This window comes from Homo sapiens, chromosome 6 (genome assembly GCF_000001405.40).
Source record: "Homo sapiens chromosome 6, GRCh38.p14 Primary Assembly".
Lineage (NCBI taxonomy): Eukaryota > Metazoa > Chordata > Mammalia > Primates > Hominidae > Homo > Homo sapiens.
The window spans coordinates 158,109,285-158,126,014 of NC_000006.12; the positions used below are offsets into that span (position 1 = coordinate 158,109,285).

Here is a 16,730-nt window from a genome sequence, read left to right on the forward strand (position 1 = left end):
GTTGCAGTGAGCCGAGATCGTGCCACTGCACTCCAGCCTGGTGACAGAGCGAGACTCTATCTCAAAAACAAAAAAAAAAAAAAAGAGAAAAAATGTACTAAACATATCTACCCCTTCTCCCCATGTTATCACATTGGGTAGTACATTCGTTGTTAGCAACTGTCATATTTGCTATGTCTACTACAGCAATAAATAAGTGGGTTTTGCTAGGTTGTTGTACAATGAAACAATTAATTGTTGATATCGAGTTTATTGATGAGCCATTTACCTTCAGATGCCATACTCCAGTTTTAGCTTCGACTATCTCATTCTACAAAAGTTCACCATCTTCAAAATTTAAACATAGACTTACCATTTGACCAGCAATTCCACCCAAGAGAATCAAAAACATCTATCCACACATAAATTTGTACACAAATGATCATGGTAGCATTATTTATCATAGACAAAAATGAACAGAACCTAGATGTCCATCAGCTGATGAATGGATAAAGAAACATGGCATATCATACAATGGAGTAATTTCGGCCATAAAAAGAAATGAAGTAGTACTGATACATGCTATATCATGAATGAACCTTGAAAACATGCTAATAGAAGGAAGAAGGCAGAGAGGGCCACATATTGTATGATTCCATTTACATAAAATTCCCAAATCCATAGAGACAGAAAACAGATTAGTGTTTACCGCAGGCTTGGGAAAGCAGAGGTGGGAACTGACTGCTCATGGGTATGGGGTTCTTTTGGGGATGATGAAATAGCCTGAAATTAAATAGCAATGATGTTGCACAACTCAGTGAACTATACTAAAAACCAATGAATTGAGCCTGGGAACAATGGCTCTGGCCTATAATCACAGCATTTTGGGAGGGTGGCTTGAGATCGGGAGTTTGAGACCTGGGCAACACAGTGAGACCCTGTCTCTACAAAAAAGTATTTATTTATTTTTTAATTACCCAAGTGTGGTGGCATGTGCCTGTAGTCCTAGCTGCTTGGGAGGCTGAAGCAAAAGGATCTCTTGAGCCCAGGAGTTTGAGGTTACAATGAGCTATGATCATGCCACTGCACTCCAGCTTGGGCAACAGAGTCAGACCCTGTCTCTAAACAAACAAAACAAAACAAAAATGAATTGTATAATTTAAAAGGGTGAATCTTATGGTATGTAAATTATATCTCAATAATGCTGTTACTCTAAAGAAAAAAAGGTCATCGACATGATTATCTACTACTCACATGCTATAGAGGTCAATTAATACCACTTGCAAATGAGCAAGGAAGAAGAAAGGTTTATTTAGCCAAAGAGAATCTGAGAATCTTGATACTAAGAATTGCTAATTCATATAATGGCTTAGAATAGTTTTACTTCATACTGTGATCAATAATGGATTAGCTACTTTATCCTTATCTAGGACAAATTCCAAGCATAGGCAGCTACAGTCTGAAAAGAATTATTATAAGCTAGAATTTTTCTAAGAAAAAGATTTGTTCTCAGGAATACGAAAATAGATACAAGGAACTGACCCAGACATGACAATAAGTCTAACAAAGTTAACACTAGTAATAATGTGTCAGATAAAAGGTAGAACTGAGCTAAAAACTCAAACTTTAAAAATGTACAGCAAATCAATACCCAGAAGTAAAAGAGTCTTGAATGTTCTAGTTCATTCTTCTCTCCATTTTAGGTACTCTCTTAATGGCATTTTTATGGTAAGTTGAGTTACCTCAGAACCTGCCGTGCCCCTCCTGGATGCACCAGGAAAGTCACAGATGGGAAAGGACACTCTCTCACAGCAGCTTTGCTCCAGTCACCAAGCCCAACACTGCGAACCATAAAGCAGCACACAGGGACTTCTTTACACCAAAGGGGCCCAATCCAGCCCTTCCTTCTGTGCCTGCCACTTCCGGGTTGGTGCTTTACAGCGCTTGAAGGGAGAACAATGTTCTGTAGTCTGCAACACACTCCAGACCATGTTGACGCTATGATCACTATGTTTGCATGATTGCATAGAGCTTAAAAGAAGAAACAGAACACCAAGTTTCTTGCACTGAATTCACATATGAAAACTGGAAGAGCACAACTGTTAGTTTTCAAGGTCTTTGGCTAAAGCTTCACGAATGAATTGTAAAGTACGCTGGTACAAAAAAGCATCCTTTTTCTTTGGCTTACAAATGTTCAAATGGTTAACATCCACAGGAATTAGATCTCCAATGCCTAAATCTGAAGAAAATAAAAAAGTCAATAAACCTAAGTAAAAATATAAGCTTTCCCCTTGACAATACTGAAAGAGGCCGAATGGGTAGTTCTAGACATTGCTTTGGTTGTGACAAGGGACTCTTAAAAGATAAAGGAACCTGAAGTTTGATTGCAGCTAAACTACATTTGATGAAACATGCAGGAAGGGATTCTCAGTCAGTAGAACCATAGTTTTATGCTTTCCATGAACTTTTCGTATGTGTTCTGGCCTACTTCCTTATTTCAGAGCAAGCAGAGATTGAGCACTAACATATTCAAAACCTTCTTACACCTGCAGGTTATTGCTAAGTTACTTCAGAGTTTCTATTATAAACTTCCTTTCTCCTGGTGAAATGAATGGGAATGTCTCACATGGGATCCATTCTATACCTAAATCCCAATAATCACTTTCAGGGTAAAAATGATTTAGTGCTTGAGATATTTCGGTCTAACAAAGTCCCCTCGCACGGAAGTGATAAGAGGTACTAGTGAGGCCACCTAGGTGAGGAATGCAGGTGGTGGTTATGAAGGAAGAAAAGCCTCTTGGTGACAGAATTAGGGCAAGGCTATGCCACTCCAAGCAGCTGGTCCATGATATTAACTTTGCTTTTGGGCGAGGCACAGTGGCTCACACCAGTAATCCCAGCACTTTGGGAGGCCAACGCAGGAGGACTGCTTGAGGCCAGGAATTTGAGACCAGCCTGGGCAACACAGCAAGACCCCATTTATACAAAAAATTTAAAAATTTAGACAGGTGTGGTGGTGTGCGCCTGTGGTCCCAGCTACTCAGGAGGCTGAAGTGGGAGGAACGCTTGAGCCCAGGAGTTCGAGGCTGCAATGAGCTATGATTATACCACTGAACTCCAGCCTGGATGACAAAGTGAGACCCTGTCTCTTAAAAACAAAAACAAAAAACTATGCTGTTGCTTCAAGCTTCCAAAGTCCTTTTTAAAAACATCTGGCAGCTGTTCTTTGGAACTCTTCAAGTTCTTCAACTACTAAATAGTAACTCCTCAACCTACAGCATATTACTTTAAGGTAAAATTTTTCAGTTCTACTACACAGTATGACATTTTTCATTTTATGTAGATAGCATATAATGAAATTAGGACAAAACTCATTATGTAGACAAAAGAACCATCTGGCAAGCACTCCAGATGCATGCTGTCCCTAGCCTGAAGGACCCACAATGTGGCTGGCTACCACCAGAACAGCACCTAAGCCAGCCTCAGAGGCAGTAAGAAAGGGGTTCCCAGAGATAACAGGCAAGCTGAAGACATGGCCAGGTGAGGCAAAAGCAGTTCAGGTGGTGAAATGTACAGGGTATCTAGTATGTACAGAGTAACAGAGGAGTCTATGAAGAGAGTTAATTAAGATCTGGGCTCCTCCCTCAAAGAATCTATAATACATTATATGACACTAGAGAGCAAGCACTGGCCATTTCCCTCAACCCCAGGATCATGAAGAGATTGTAGTTCAACACTAGTTTTTCCCACTGGAATATTTCTGGAGCTTTACTATTCCCCATGGATCTTCTATTTACGAAAGCTTCCACACTTTTAGATGATTTTCTTAAGGGTTCTGCATGTAAATATAAGTCTAAGTCTATTAAATAAATGCCCCTTTTGATCTAGCTGATAGAAGAGCTTTCTTTACTGCAAAAGAGTTCACTGTTGATGCCTAACTTAGAGTTAGCCAATTAACCCTTCTCATCTAATCAGTTACATAAAGGGCAGGGAGAGGTAATACCCGGGTTATATGTTTACAGAGAAATTTTAATCTATTGCTGAAAAGAATAAAAGAAATCAAATCTAGACCTTCATAAACTATCTCTTAAAACTGAGAACCTGGATATAAAAATTGCTGTTTACAAGTAAATGCTAGGTATAATTAAGCATCTAACAGCCAACAAGTTTCAAAAGAGTGAATACCTGCTGATTCCACAGGTACCACATGGAGCTTAATCATGCTGCCAATGTAGGTTGGTAGTGTTTCCACAAAATTCAGCACCTGGAAGTTTTTGTCTTTAGCAAACTCCAGAAAGTCATCTTGTAGTGTTTTAAGTGCAGGAGAATCTGTAAAATTATACAGAACAAGACTGTGACAAGTTGTTTACCCAATTCATAATAAAATGCATTAATCTTTCAAATTTAGAGAGGAAATTAGAATTCTGATTCAAGACGGTGGCTTGAGTACACATGTTTATTTTCTCCCCTGCCAAGAAGCCACTAAGATTCAAGGAAAAAGCTAAAACCAAGAATCGACAGGACAGTCAGCAGCAGGAGAGGGTTTATCACATTACTGGGGGCAGGAAGCAGTTCCCAGGGCAGTCTGGTGTGTGGGACCACAGGGGTCCTCCAGTGTGATGATGGCACCACAACACCCACCCCAAAGCCCAGCCTCCCACCAACAAAGCCTGTCTACAATCACAGAATGCCTGTCCCTTCCCATCCCTCACCCTCACATATGAAAGAGCAACCAAGAGGCACCAGATAGGCCTATGACCTAAAAGAGATGGATCAGATAAGCAAACAGAAAAGCTGGCCACAGAAAAAAAACAGCTAGATGAGGAGTAGAAGGGAACTCACAAACCTTCTACTTAGGATCTTTAGAATTATTTGAAAAGATAAAGGAGCCACAAAACAAGAAGAGGACATGAGTGCAGAACCACCAGGGCACAGGAAAGAAGGCACGTACGGAAAACACAATCTGACTCCACGAAAGGAAAGTCCAACAGAAGGTTTAGAAGAAATCAAGAGATTCTCCATAAAGTAGAACAAAGAGAAAATAGGAGCAAAAAGACACCTGGTATATTTAGGCTCGAGCCAGGGAATCCAAATTCCGATTAACAGGTGTTCCAGAGAGAAAACTGCTTATCAAACCAGAGTACTTTAAAATTAATACTAACAATCTCAAAGTTTCATTTACATTTTAACAGTTGATGATTCTCCACTCATGGGGGAAAAAAGCCATTTATTGGTAATTTGGAATAATACTTAAAAGCAAAACATTATCTGATTATTTTTCTAATTTTAAGTATTTAAGATAATATTAAAATTATTACAATGCTTGAGTAAATAATGGCTTAAGAACAAAATGAGAAATTATCAAAGAAAAATCAAGCCCAACCCAAAATTTCCATGAATAGTCTAAACACAATTATATACAAATTATAAAATGAGATAATACATTCAAGGAAGAAACTTTTTCTTCTTCTCTGTGTAACTGATGTTAATATAACCCCAATTTCCTTTATGACAAAAAGTATTACCCTTGCTGAGTTCTTTGACTTCCAACGAGGGGAAGAGAAGATAGCGAATATTAACAGAGTATTCAGCCAAACGTGATCCATGATGAGGGACACTATAAAAAATTATTCCTCTGGTATTGTTGATAACAGTACTCATTTCTGGCTTCGTAGAGGCTTCCAACAGCATCTTTTTGACAAGAAGACCTAGCCACAGACAAGGGAAAAAAACAATGCATAAGCTATTTTCCTTCCCTTTATTACTGTAAAAAAAGAAAAGGCCAAACAAGAAATACATAAAAAGAGATGCTTTCTTTTTAAAAAAAATGGTTTAAACAATTCTCTGTACAGTAGTATAAGAAATAAGGCCTTAAAACACTTAATAATACTCCTGATCCTTATAGTGCAAGCCTACAAACAGGGATTCTAGAAACTCATTTGTAGGGCAGAGCCTTGTCTCACAGGATCTACTGTCCCAGTGCAGGAACATGAGGTATGCCCAGCTGGGAGCTCCCTCAGGACATGAGCGTGGTGTGGCTGGTCTCTCAGCCTGCTATGGCAGACCGCTGATGACCACACTGTCAGGACAGTGCTACTATTCCACAGCACACAGTCCCCCATGGAGAACACAGCTTTCATGGGAACTGTTCCTCTGGAGGCACCTTTTCTTCCATCCCCCTGCCCCGGCTTTGGAACCGATAATGAAACACAAAGATCTAAAGGATGATGACAGTAGGTCTTTGAGGACACGAAGGGCTACACCCACCTTTGTCTCAGCAAAAATCCCCACCTCAGAGGCAATCCTGAGTGCTTCATCAGATAAACTAGGCCACGGGCTGCAGAAAGGCCTTCTGCAAGGTGGGTGGTGAAAATTTCAAAGTGGACTGGGGGAGTCGCACACAGGGGAGGCCATTCCATAAGCAACCACTAGGACCCCAAGAACAGACACTTGATCACACCTGTACCTCAGCAGCTCTGGGCCTGGTGTGAGCAGGCACCCAGAGTCTGGGACTGTGGGCACTAAAGCGACCATAGACTGCAATGGTGAGGGGGAGCAGGAAGAATAAAGGGGCACCCCTGGGGCCACCCAAGAATGCTGAGGCATGTTGACGAGGTGGGTGTATATGAAACGGGCTGCTTCTCATGTTTATTCATTACCGCTATGTGAAAGCACTACGCTGTCAAACCCATATCCCTCTTAGATGATTTGTAACAGGTTGCCCTTTTCTAGAGAAAGGAACAGCATGGAACAAGAGTAGTAATTTTAAAAGTCCTAGCCATAGCTACACAGATTAATTTAGCAGGGGGGGTAAGGGAGCCGCTATTAAGTAAAATGGAAAGATAAAATAACTTTAGGTTGGCCACAGTGGCTGAAAATAACATCACAATGGCCACTTCACAAAGTTGAAGCCACACTTACCTCCCATGCTATGTGATATCCAAACCACTGGCCTATCCCCAACACCAGCAGCTCTGAGCTTCCTAAGAAGTTCGTTGCTTCTGAATGCAATGGACTTTCTGAACAAAACAAAAACAGCAGGCATGACACAAGGCTATCGATCCCCTCAATTTGCTGTCTAATTTTTAGAGTTAAGAACTTTAGTCTACAGGACCAATGCTACATACTACATTTAGAGTAAGAAATACCCCCATTCTCTCTGCTTAATATAAAATACCCCTATTCTCTCTTATTGAACTCCTGGCCCCAAGGAATCCTCCCACCTCGGCCTCCCAAAGCACTAGGATTATAGGCATGAGCCACCACGCCTGGGATCTCTCTGCTCAATTCCTGAAATCGTTAATTCTCTATTTGTAACTTATTAACATTGGCCTAATTAGGAATATCTAAGCCCAGAACAGGCCATTCATTTACTGCATGAACATTGTTGGAGCACCTGTGTCAGGCAATTTTTTCGGGTCAAATGTGGGTCTCCCTGCAACTGCCCTCCAACACTTAGGATATGGATGTCCTTTTTCATCCAAGGCCTGACAATGAAAGTATCACCAAAGACTGTGGTCTCTCTACTGGTAGTTAGGCTGCAAAAATATTAAGCTTTCATAATTTTGGTTTATTCTTTAGAAATACTAGGGTGCTATTTAGAAAAACTAGAATGAGTCAAGTTTATTAGCACTTATTCCTTCCAATGCATGCTTTTATAACTAGCATAAACAGGATGCTAATAGAATCAGAATTCGAAATAAGTAATTTTTAAACTAAAGAGGAACTTCAAAACTATCTAGTCTGGTAGTTTCAAACTGTTTATTTGTAGACACATTTCTTCAAAATAAAGGTTCTCCAGAGCTCCTCTGGGTGAAATGGGGAGGGAGACCTGGGGTCTTGCCTGCTCACCTTGACACCCTTCTTGGGCACCTACGGGAGGTTCATTCAGAAAGCAGTTTGATAACACTGATTTAGACCAACTCTGTCAATCTGTAGACAAAGCTTCCCGGAAAAGTTAACTGACTGGTCTAAGACTGCACAGCAAATCAAAGGTAGGATCCGGCTACTCTCAGTCCAGTAACTCTGAAATCCAGCACTCCTTCCCATGTATACAACTGGCACAGATGACATACAAGGGAAATAGCAGCTGATATTTCTCAGCATCTTTCTCTTTGCTTCCTTTAGCCAGTATGATTGTGGACACAAGAACAAAAAAACATCACTTTTACTTCTGATAGAAAAGGAGACTGCTAGACAATCCACGATCCTTCACTATTAGAACAGTTGTAAATAAACCATGTTAGGAGCCCACCATTGGTGATATACCTAAGCCTTCTACTATTCCACTGCTTATTGACAGCAAACTCCTTCTAGAAGGAAGACAAAAAAGATTAGGTTTGTTCTTCATAAGAAAATCCTGTCTGTGGCATCAAAAAATTAAAATCACTTCCCATCCAAGAGGACCTAAACTTGCGGCCTGAATTCTTCCCTGTCCTCCTGGTCTAAAGTCGCCTCTGTTACCTTTCCATAGGGCACCTTGCTCTCCAGTCGCTGAGGCTGGTGTCATACTCCACAGATATAATTCGGAGAGCAGGACAGTCTTTTGCTAACCATGTCTAAGTAAAATAAAACATATGTGAGAACAAGTATGAATCTTCACCACTGCAATTACTGCCTAGTAAATCAAATTTATAACTAAAGGCCTCTTGCACTATAATTAAAGATAGCACTGGAATAAGGTTTGAAGGTACCGTAAAAACAATTCCAGCACTATCTTTTCAAGTCTCTGGTCTCGAAGTGGTACCAGTATTTATAGCATAAGGCCAATGAAGGTTTCAAGAGAATATTTTCCATTTTAAGCTGCTATAGCCAAAAGCAAGGCCTGTTTTAAAGTCTAGATCAAGTTGGCTTTTTGAAAGAATTTAGTAGAATGCTATAATCTCAGGACAGATGGCATAGTCTGACAGATTTTGGATCTGAGAATTCAGAGACACTAATAATAATCATCACAGTTCTATCTCTGTATACCCTAGGTCTATCATCATCTCTGTACTTCAGTGCCACCAGAAAGTGCAAATCATTCTTCTACTTGATAAGCCTTTGTGAAGGAGAATAAGTAGTAATGGAACAATGCCCTAAAAACTATTCACACGTATATGCAGCATCACTTTTAAATGAGCTTTAGATAAATTCCATTCAATGAATTCATTCCAGAATTAAGGTTCTTTGGGAGAAATAGTATCAAAGAAATGTAAAGTATTAATTAGCCAGGCATGATGGCATGTGCCTGTGGTCCCAGCTACTCAGGAGGCTGAGGGGGAATGACTGTTTGAGCCTGGGAGGTTGAGACTGCAGTGCGCTAGGATCGCACCACTGCACTCCAGTCTGGGTGACAAAATGAGACCCTCATCTCAAAAAAAAAAAAAAAAAAGAAGGAAAGAAATGCAAAGTATAATTACTTCTTCAAAGACTTTCTATTTTTGTAATTATTAAGGTCATAGAATTAGGTAACTATTATAAATGTAAGTATTGTTATGTTATTTTTGTATTATATTACAACAAAAGTGAACTATTACTGGCTCTTGCCCCTATTTTTTACTTAATAGAATATTTTTTGAGTCATACACTGCACCCCAAATGGAAATTATACAACATAGGGTGACAAGCCCAGTTGTTGTCAAAACATACTACAAATCTCCCTAAGGGAAAGAAGAACTGCATGGGAAAAAAATCCCAGAACAAAGAGAAAAACAAGCAAGCCACAATCAGGGCCCCAGCAACCAGGGCCCCAGCAACCAGGGCCAGAGTCAGTGGCTCCCTTACCTTGGGCCAGCACGTCGTATATCTGTCTTCATCCTCCATAGGTTTTTCAATTACAGCCTGCTCACTGTCCTGCTGGCGCCATGTTTTGAATGCTGCTCCCATAAGGCCATGAATAAAAAGGACATCTGCTTTAATGGGCTGACTAATAGGGGAGAGAGTTTTAAAAAGAAGCAGAATAAATGCATTACTGCTTTGGTAAGAATCTACACAGCATTCTCTGTGGATGGTGCTTTAGCAGGCTTATGTGACATAAAACTGAATTAAAGCAAGCTCTATAAGCACAGGTTTGCTGGGAAAACCTAGAAGGAGCTTTGGCAAAGACATACATGAAGCATGTTCACTGTTCTCTAAAAATGGAGACTATTCTAGTCAGGCAGACCAACCACAATCAATTGTAATGAGCTTAGCAATCAATCAACTGACAGATGTCATAGATTACCCTCTAAAGACTTCCATTTGAGAATATTCTACAAATCAATAAAAGTATTTAAGAAATTAAAGAAGAACGTGCTAATAACAGTTTCAAAGTCAGTATATATAAAAGAGATTTTCAAAAATGTGTTAAGGAAACTAATACTTATAAAATGAGATTTCAAAGTAACATTCACTCATTGCATATGACGCATTAAAAACTGTAGATAGTATGTTAGTTGCAAGCTATTTACAGTACACATACAATTATGCAATGCACATATATAACCATAATATTTTATTTACAAATTGTAATTAACCAGGTAATCCACTTTTTAATTTAAAAGTTTTTGCTATTTTCTGAGGTACTTTTTGTAAAGTGCCCTAAGAAAACCAAGAAATATGTTATTTTTTCAGTGTGGTCCCTTCTATATTTATTGTCTTAGCAATTATACAACTAGATATAATGACCACAAATAACCTTAAGAAGGGGCATGAGTCAAACTTATTACAACTTATTCTTTCTAATGCATCCTTTTATAACTAGCATAAACTTTCTCCAGTCCCTTGAGTTCTAGGCCCAGGCTAATTTGGTTGCCACATAAGACAATGTCTTATCTCCTTCCTATTCAGCTGACTTCTACAATCCAAATCAGTTATTAACTCAGATCTAAGTGAAAATGCCTTGAACCAAAGGAGATATGTATTACAAAGTTTAAGTGTGACGCATTATCAAATGTGAATGCCACCTAACTGAAGGGAAGCCCTTTGTAAAATAACCATGACAATTTAGCTAGTTCACATACTTTTCATGACAACCTCCAATTCTTTTGTGGTTACTATAGACAAATTATTTTAGTAAATAAGATATTTGACTTATAAGTTATTTAACTTATCTGAATTATGCAGAAATAAGTTAAAAATTTGAGGCCTCTAGGCTTCACATTTCCAAAGGGGACAAAGCAACTCTCTTCTGCTTCCTTACCTTGTTCGATATTGGGGATGCAGCACATATACGCCATCCTGATATTTTTCTTGCACAGTTTCTCGGTCTAGATTTGCCAGGATTCTGGCAGCGTGTGAGGACTCCATAATGTGGGGAGATTTCATTGCTTCTGCCATGATGGAAACCCAGCCTGGTGAAAAGTACACATATCCTAAATACTGATGTGAATCCATCGCAGACCACAGAGAGAGTGAGGTTTCAAACTGAATATGATGGGAGAAAGGCAAACCTTGCGTGTCTGTCCTTGGCGGAGAAGTCCGACTATTCCAACCCCATTCTGCCCTACGATCCTCTGAGACCTGTGGCACAATACCATCCACATACCCCTTAAGGGACCTCAAAGAAGGAAAGAGGGGTTGAAGAGCCATTTTCTTTATTTAGAAAGCCTAACACTAATACCAATTATAGAGGTGTTCATAGCAGTTATAGAGGTGTTCACAAAAGTGAACAAAATACCATGATGTTTTGCTTTTAACAAGAATTATGAAACTCAGTGGGTTAATACTAGTTATTTCATCCTGACCAGCAATCAGTAATACCCTTTCATACAAATGAAGAAACTATTTCTTAACAATGAATTTGAGACACAAAACTCTTGTAGAATCTGGAGATCAGGAAGGAAAAAACATTTTTTAAAGGGAGGCAAACAGAAAATGCATGGATAATACTATCTATGCTATGATTTCTTTTTTTTAATGTTTTTGTTTTTAAAACTTTATATACATAAATATAAAAGTACATGTGCACACACATACACAAACACACAAAGATCTATACACTAAACTTATAAAGTCGTTACCTTTTAGGAGAGAGATAGGGTAGAAGAGGGCTCTGTAAAAAACGTATGTTTAGCTTTTTCGCTATATCTATTTTCTGAAGTACGGTGAAAAATCTATGTATTTATTTATATAATTTATTTAATTTAAAATAAAGCAGAATATGGGCCTTGAAGTTAGACTTGGGCTCACATTTCTGCTCCCTCCTTACTTGCTCTGGAACCTCAGTCAAGTTATTTAGCAACTGAACTAGAGGAAGGTTTTAATAAACTAATGTATGTGAAAACCGTGGGCCCAGGCCCAGCAGGCACTCAATACACGACAGCTGTCCCCATGCCCTTCTCCCACTCTTTACGACAAAAGTGTTGAGTCACTGTGATGATGGGAAGCTAGCATTTAATAACCTAAAAGAAGCTTCAGACTCAGTACTTAACAATATTCAAATTTATAACATCAGAAGATTCCTCTTCAAAATCTGTTAAAGATTTTAAAATAATAAAATAAGAATATTTAAAAATTATATCTATAGAGATAGACAAGTATGTTATTGGTATATATGAAAATACGGCTTTATTTTTAATGAAGTCACAAGAAAAAGCATGGTACAAGCCATCTCTGGCTTTTTTCAGTTGACAAAATATGTTCACAATGTCCGAGATACTCCACCTTTGAAAAATATCAAATGCCCTTTGGAAAACTTACTTCTTTAACATTGAGCATTTTAAAATTATATAACATCTGAATGCACTCATGCAAAACACATAATAATGTTTCAGTCAACAATGAACCACAAATACTATGGTGATCCCATAAGATTATAGTACAGTATTTTTGCTGTGCCTTTTCTATGTTTAGCTGTGTTTAGATACTCAAATATTTCCCATTGTGTTACAACTGTCTACAGTGTTCAGTACAGTAACCTGCTGTATAGGTTTGGAGCCTAGGAGCAATAGGCTGTCCCATACAGCCTAGGTGTGGAATAGGTGCTACCATCCAGGTTTGTGTAAGTATACTTTGCGATGTTTGCACAGTGACAAAACTGCCTAACGATACATTCCTCAGAATGTTTCTCCACTATTAAGCAATGCATGTCTGTACATGTTAACTGTAAAAAATAATGAAATAACTAAAAGTAGCATCTAATGATGAAAGTCTTGCTTTAGTACTCCCATAATTTCCCAACTCCATTTACATCCTCAGAGTAATGAAAGGTAGAAGTTTGGTGGACACCCTTTTGAAAAATATAGTCATATATCTATAATTTAAACACATACAATGGGCCAGGCGTGGTGTTTCATGCCTGTAATCCCAACACTTTGGGAGGCTGAGGCAGGCAGATCACTTGAGGTCAGGAGTTCAAGACCAGCCTGGCCAACATGTGAAACCCCATCTCTACTAAAATTACAAAATTAGCCGGGTGTGGTGGTGGGCGCCTGTAATCCCAGCGACTCAGAAGGCTGAGGCATGAGAATCACTTGAACCCGGGAGGTGGAGGTTGCAGGGAGCCAAGATAGCGCCACTGCACTCCAGCCTGGGCAACAGAGTGAGACGCTGTCTCAAAGAAAAAGAAAAATGTAGCTCTATGTGCACTTTTTGAAACCTAAATGGAATCATACTACTGTTCTGTGTCTGTACTTCAGCAGTATGTCTTGGAGAGCTCTCTATATATATCAACTTCATTCCTTTGAACTATAGTATTACGTCACATGAGTACGCCATTGTTTAACCACTATTCATTCCTATTGGCAGACATTTAGGTTGCTCCAACTTTTGTAAATCTGAAGGCAAAAATCTGCAGATCTGATACTAAGATTGATACAAAATATATAAAAAGAGGGAAAGACACAGGATGCCTAAAGAGAAAAAAACACAGGGCAAGTTAGCAGAATTCAAATTGGAGTACTGAGAAGTAATGAAGGCTGAGCAAAAAGAAGGTATATGTAGGTAACTCTTTCAGAAGTTTAGCTATAACAGGGAGGACAGGATGTTATAGGGGATGCAGATTATGTTTTTCACATCTTCCTCCAATGTATGTGATCAGAGGGTCCAGCTATGAGGCAGCAGCTGACCATGAGACCAGAAAAAAGTATACATTCCTGAGACTGTGAAAGGAGACAGGCCCAAACATGGCTGGAGGGCTTATAAAAGAGGTGTCTCTTTTCCTATTACCAAGAAAAGGAAAGAACAGGGTTTGGTTTTTGTTAGTGAGAAAATTCCTTTTAGGGCTTCAATTGTCTCAGTAAAGTAGGAGGAGAAGTCATCCTCTGAGAGGAAGGAATATGTGGAAGGTTTAAGGAACACGTAGAAGGTTTACAATAGTCATTGCTAAGAATGTTAAGGTAGCTGATTGGAGAAACATAATTGCTGAGCAATATTGAAGGTTCTTTAATTTGTGATCTCATAAGCATGCTGACAACCAATCTGCAATGATTCCACGTTCAGCCACAGAGTAGTAAGCAGGCAGTAGGTTTCATCAAGGTCTTGACCAAGAGACTGGTAACAGGATCAAAGGGAAAGGGAGTTGTAGGTACTGGCAAAAATATTACTGAAATAACAGACCATGGAATATAAGCTGGGTTCAGGGAGGAAGTAAAGAATAAAAAGAGTGATGGATTGGGAGAGGATAAAGGGGTCTGTGGATAGAAGATTTCAATAGAGAAGAAAACCAGTCCTTATGGGGTAGATGCAAAAACAAGCTTGAATGAAAGAAGGATGTGCTCAGGGCTGATTTTTAGGTGAAGTGGTTTCAGGCAGTGATTAGGTTCAATGTATGACTTAGGAGTAGAGTACTAGACAACTCAGGAGCAGAGCAGGAAATCAATGAAGATGAGAAGGTCATGGAATTGAGGCCAAGGTGGTGAGTGGGCTATCCAGGAGATAAGAGGACTGAAGACTTGGGGTAGACCCAGGTTTCAGAGAAGAGTCATTTTTTTTTCTATAATAAGATACTGATTTGATCAGGTCTTTGTCCTGCTTTGAATCCCTTAGTCTCCACCTCATCAATGAACCTGTAGATAGGTCAATAGAAACCATCCAAAGTAAAGCACAGAGGAAAAAATTTAAACATAATGAATAGAATCTCAATAACCTGCAGGACAGAAAAAAGAGATCTAATATACATAACAGAAGTTCCAGAAAAAGATAAGAATAAAAAAGGACAAAAGAATAAATATTGGATGATATACTGGCAGGAAAGTTTCTACATTTGATCAAAAACACCAACCCATCAATACAAGGTATTGTATTCTTGAAAATTGCTGACAGAATAGATTTTAAATGTTCTCACCACAAAAAATGATATGTATAAGGTAATGCATATGTTAATTCTCTCAGTTCAGTGGAGCTCAAGCAGGATAAATATGACACCTAGGCATTTCAGAGTCAAAAATCAAACAGAAAGATCTTAAAAGAAGCCAGAGGAAAAAAGATATTACGTATAAGAGAACAAAAGTGGGAATTCAAAGAGACTTCTCATCAGACAATGGACTCCAGAAGAGAGTGGAATGACATTTTAGAAATGCTGGAAAACACACACACACACACACACACACACACACACACACACACATACACACTCAACAAAGAATACTTTATCCAGGGAAGATACCTTTTCCTGGACATAAAATAAAGGCAAATTAAAGACATTTTCAAATAATGAGGTGAGAGAATTTGTTGCCAGTGGACCCAATACACAAGAAATACTAAAGGAAAGTCTTTAGGCTGAAGAGAAATATTATCAGATGTAAATCCATATATACAGAAAAAAGGGAGAGCACTGGAGATTATAAATATGCAAACAAAAAAGATTTTTGATTTCTTATATTCTTTAAATGTCACACGACTGTTCCTATGGTTTCAATGTGTCCCCTCCAAAATTCAAGTGTTGCCAATGTGACAGTATGAAGAGGTGAGCCTTTAAGAGGTGACTGGGCCATCAGTGTTCCTCCCACATTAATAGAATTAATTCATGTTTGAAGTGATTGCTATCCCAACTGCCCTGACTTGATCACTACACATTGTATGCTTGTATCAAAATATCACTACATATTTACATCCTCATAAATATGTACAACTATCATGTACATAAAATTTTAAATTCAAAAATTTTTAAATAAAAAAATAAAAGAGGCTTCATGCAACATGCAGGCTAGCTTGCCCTTCAGTCTTCTGCCATGTGACGATAAAACAATGAGGCCCTCACAAGACACCAATGGCCAGAACCTTGATCTTGAACTTCCCAGCCTCCAGAACTGAGACACAATAAATCTGTTATTTATAAATTACCCAGCCTCCAACATACAGCCTCAGGTTACAGCAGCACAAAATGAACTAAAGCAACTATTATAAATAACAACAATGTAACCAGGCACAGTGGCCCAAACATATACTCCCAGCTACTCGTGAGGCTAAGGTAGGAAGATCACTTGAGCCTAGGAGTTTGAGGACAGCCTGGGCAACACAGCAAGACCCTGTCTCAAAAAATAATAATAACAATGATAATGTATTGTGAAGTCTATAAATAAGAGTAAAACATATTACAACAATACCACAAAGAATGGCAGGGGATGTGAACTGAATTATGGGGTTGTAAGGATCTTACATCATATGAAATGGCATAATCTTAATTCAAAGTAGACTGTAAGGATACAACCATTAAACACACAAACACAGTATAAAAAGCCAAAAGAGGAGAAACAACAGAATTTAAAAACAAACACTCAAGTAATACAAGAAGTCAGAAAAAAGAAGAAAAAGAGGGACAAATAGAAAGCAAAGAGCAAGATGACCAACAT

The 16,730-nt window shown here is 38.8% G+C and overlaps 1 protein-coding gene across 7 annotated transcripts in view, besides 1 other annotated feature; it reads right to left on the reverse strand.

The window, feature by feature from the left end:
* The window catches only part of SERAC1 (serine active site containing 1), a 58,744-nt gene continuing 42,248 nt past the window's right edge, over positions 235 to 16,730 (reverse strand). For 5 of the 7 annotated variants that reach the window (XM_006715586.4, NM_032861.4, XM_047419421.1 and 2 more), the window contains 7 exons: positions 11,141 to 11,291; positions 9,745 to 9,886; positions 8,443 to 8,537; positions 6,901 to 6,998; positions 5,505 to 5,687; positions 4,165 to 4,308; positions 235 to 2,218 (listed from right to left, as the gene is read on the reverse strand). In XM_006715586.4, coding sequence (XP_006715649.1) covers positions 2,082 to 2,218; positions 4,165 to 4,308; positions 5,505 to 5,687; positions 6,901 to 6,998; positions 8,443 to 8,537; positions 9,745 to 9,886; positions 11,141 to 11,291 — 950 coding nt within the window. In that variant the 3' untranslated portion in view covers positions 235 to 2,081. Of the gene's footprint in view, positions 2,219 to 4,164; positions 4,309 to 5,186; positions 5,688 to 6,900; positions 6,999 to 8,442; positions 8,538 to 9,744; positions 9,887 to 11,140; positions 11,292 to 16,730 lie in introns of those variants that run through there. The other 2 variants (NR_073096.2, XR_007059349.1) reach the window with 2 other exon arrangements.
* Positions 10,819 to 11,019: a silencer, noted in NCBI's record as "peak6269 fragment used in MPRA reporter construct". NCBI's record gives its function as "represses an SCP1 promoter by STARR-seq MPRAs in K562 erythroleukemia cells {active_cell/tissue: K562}" and the evidence as "EXISTENCE:reporter gene assay evidence [ECO:0000049][PMID:32103011]".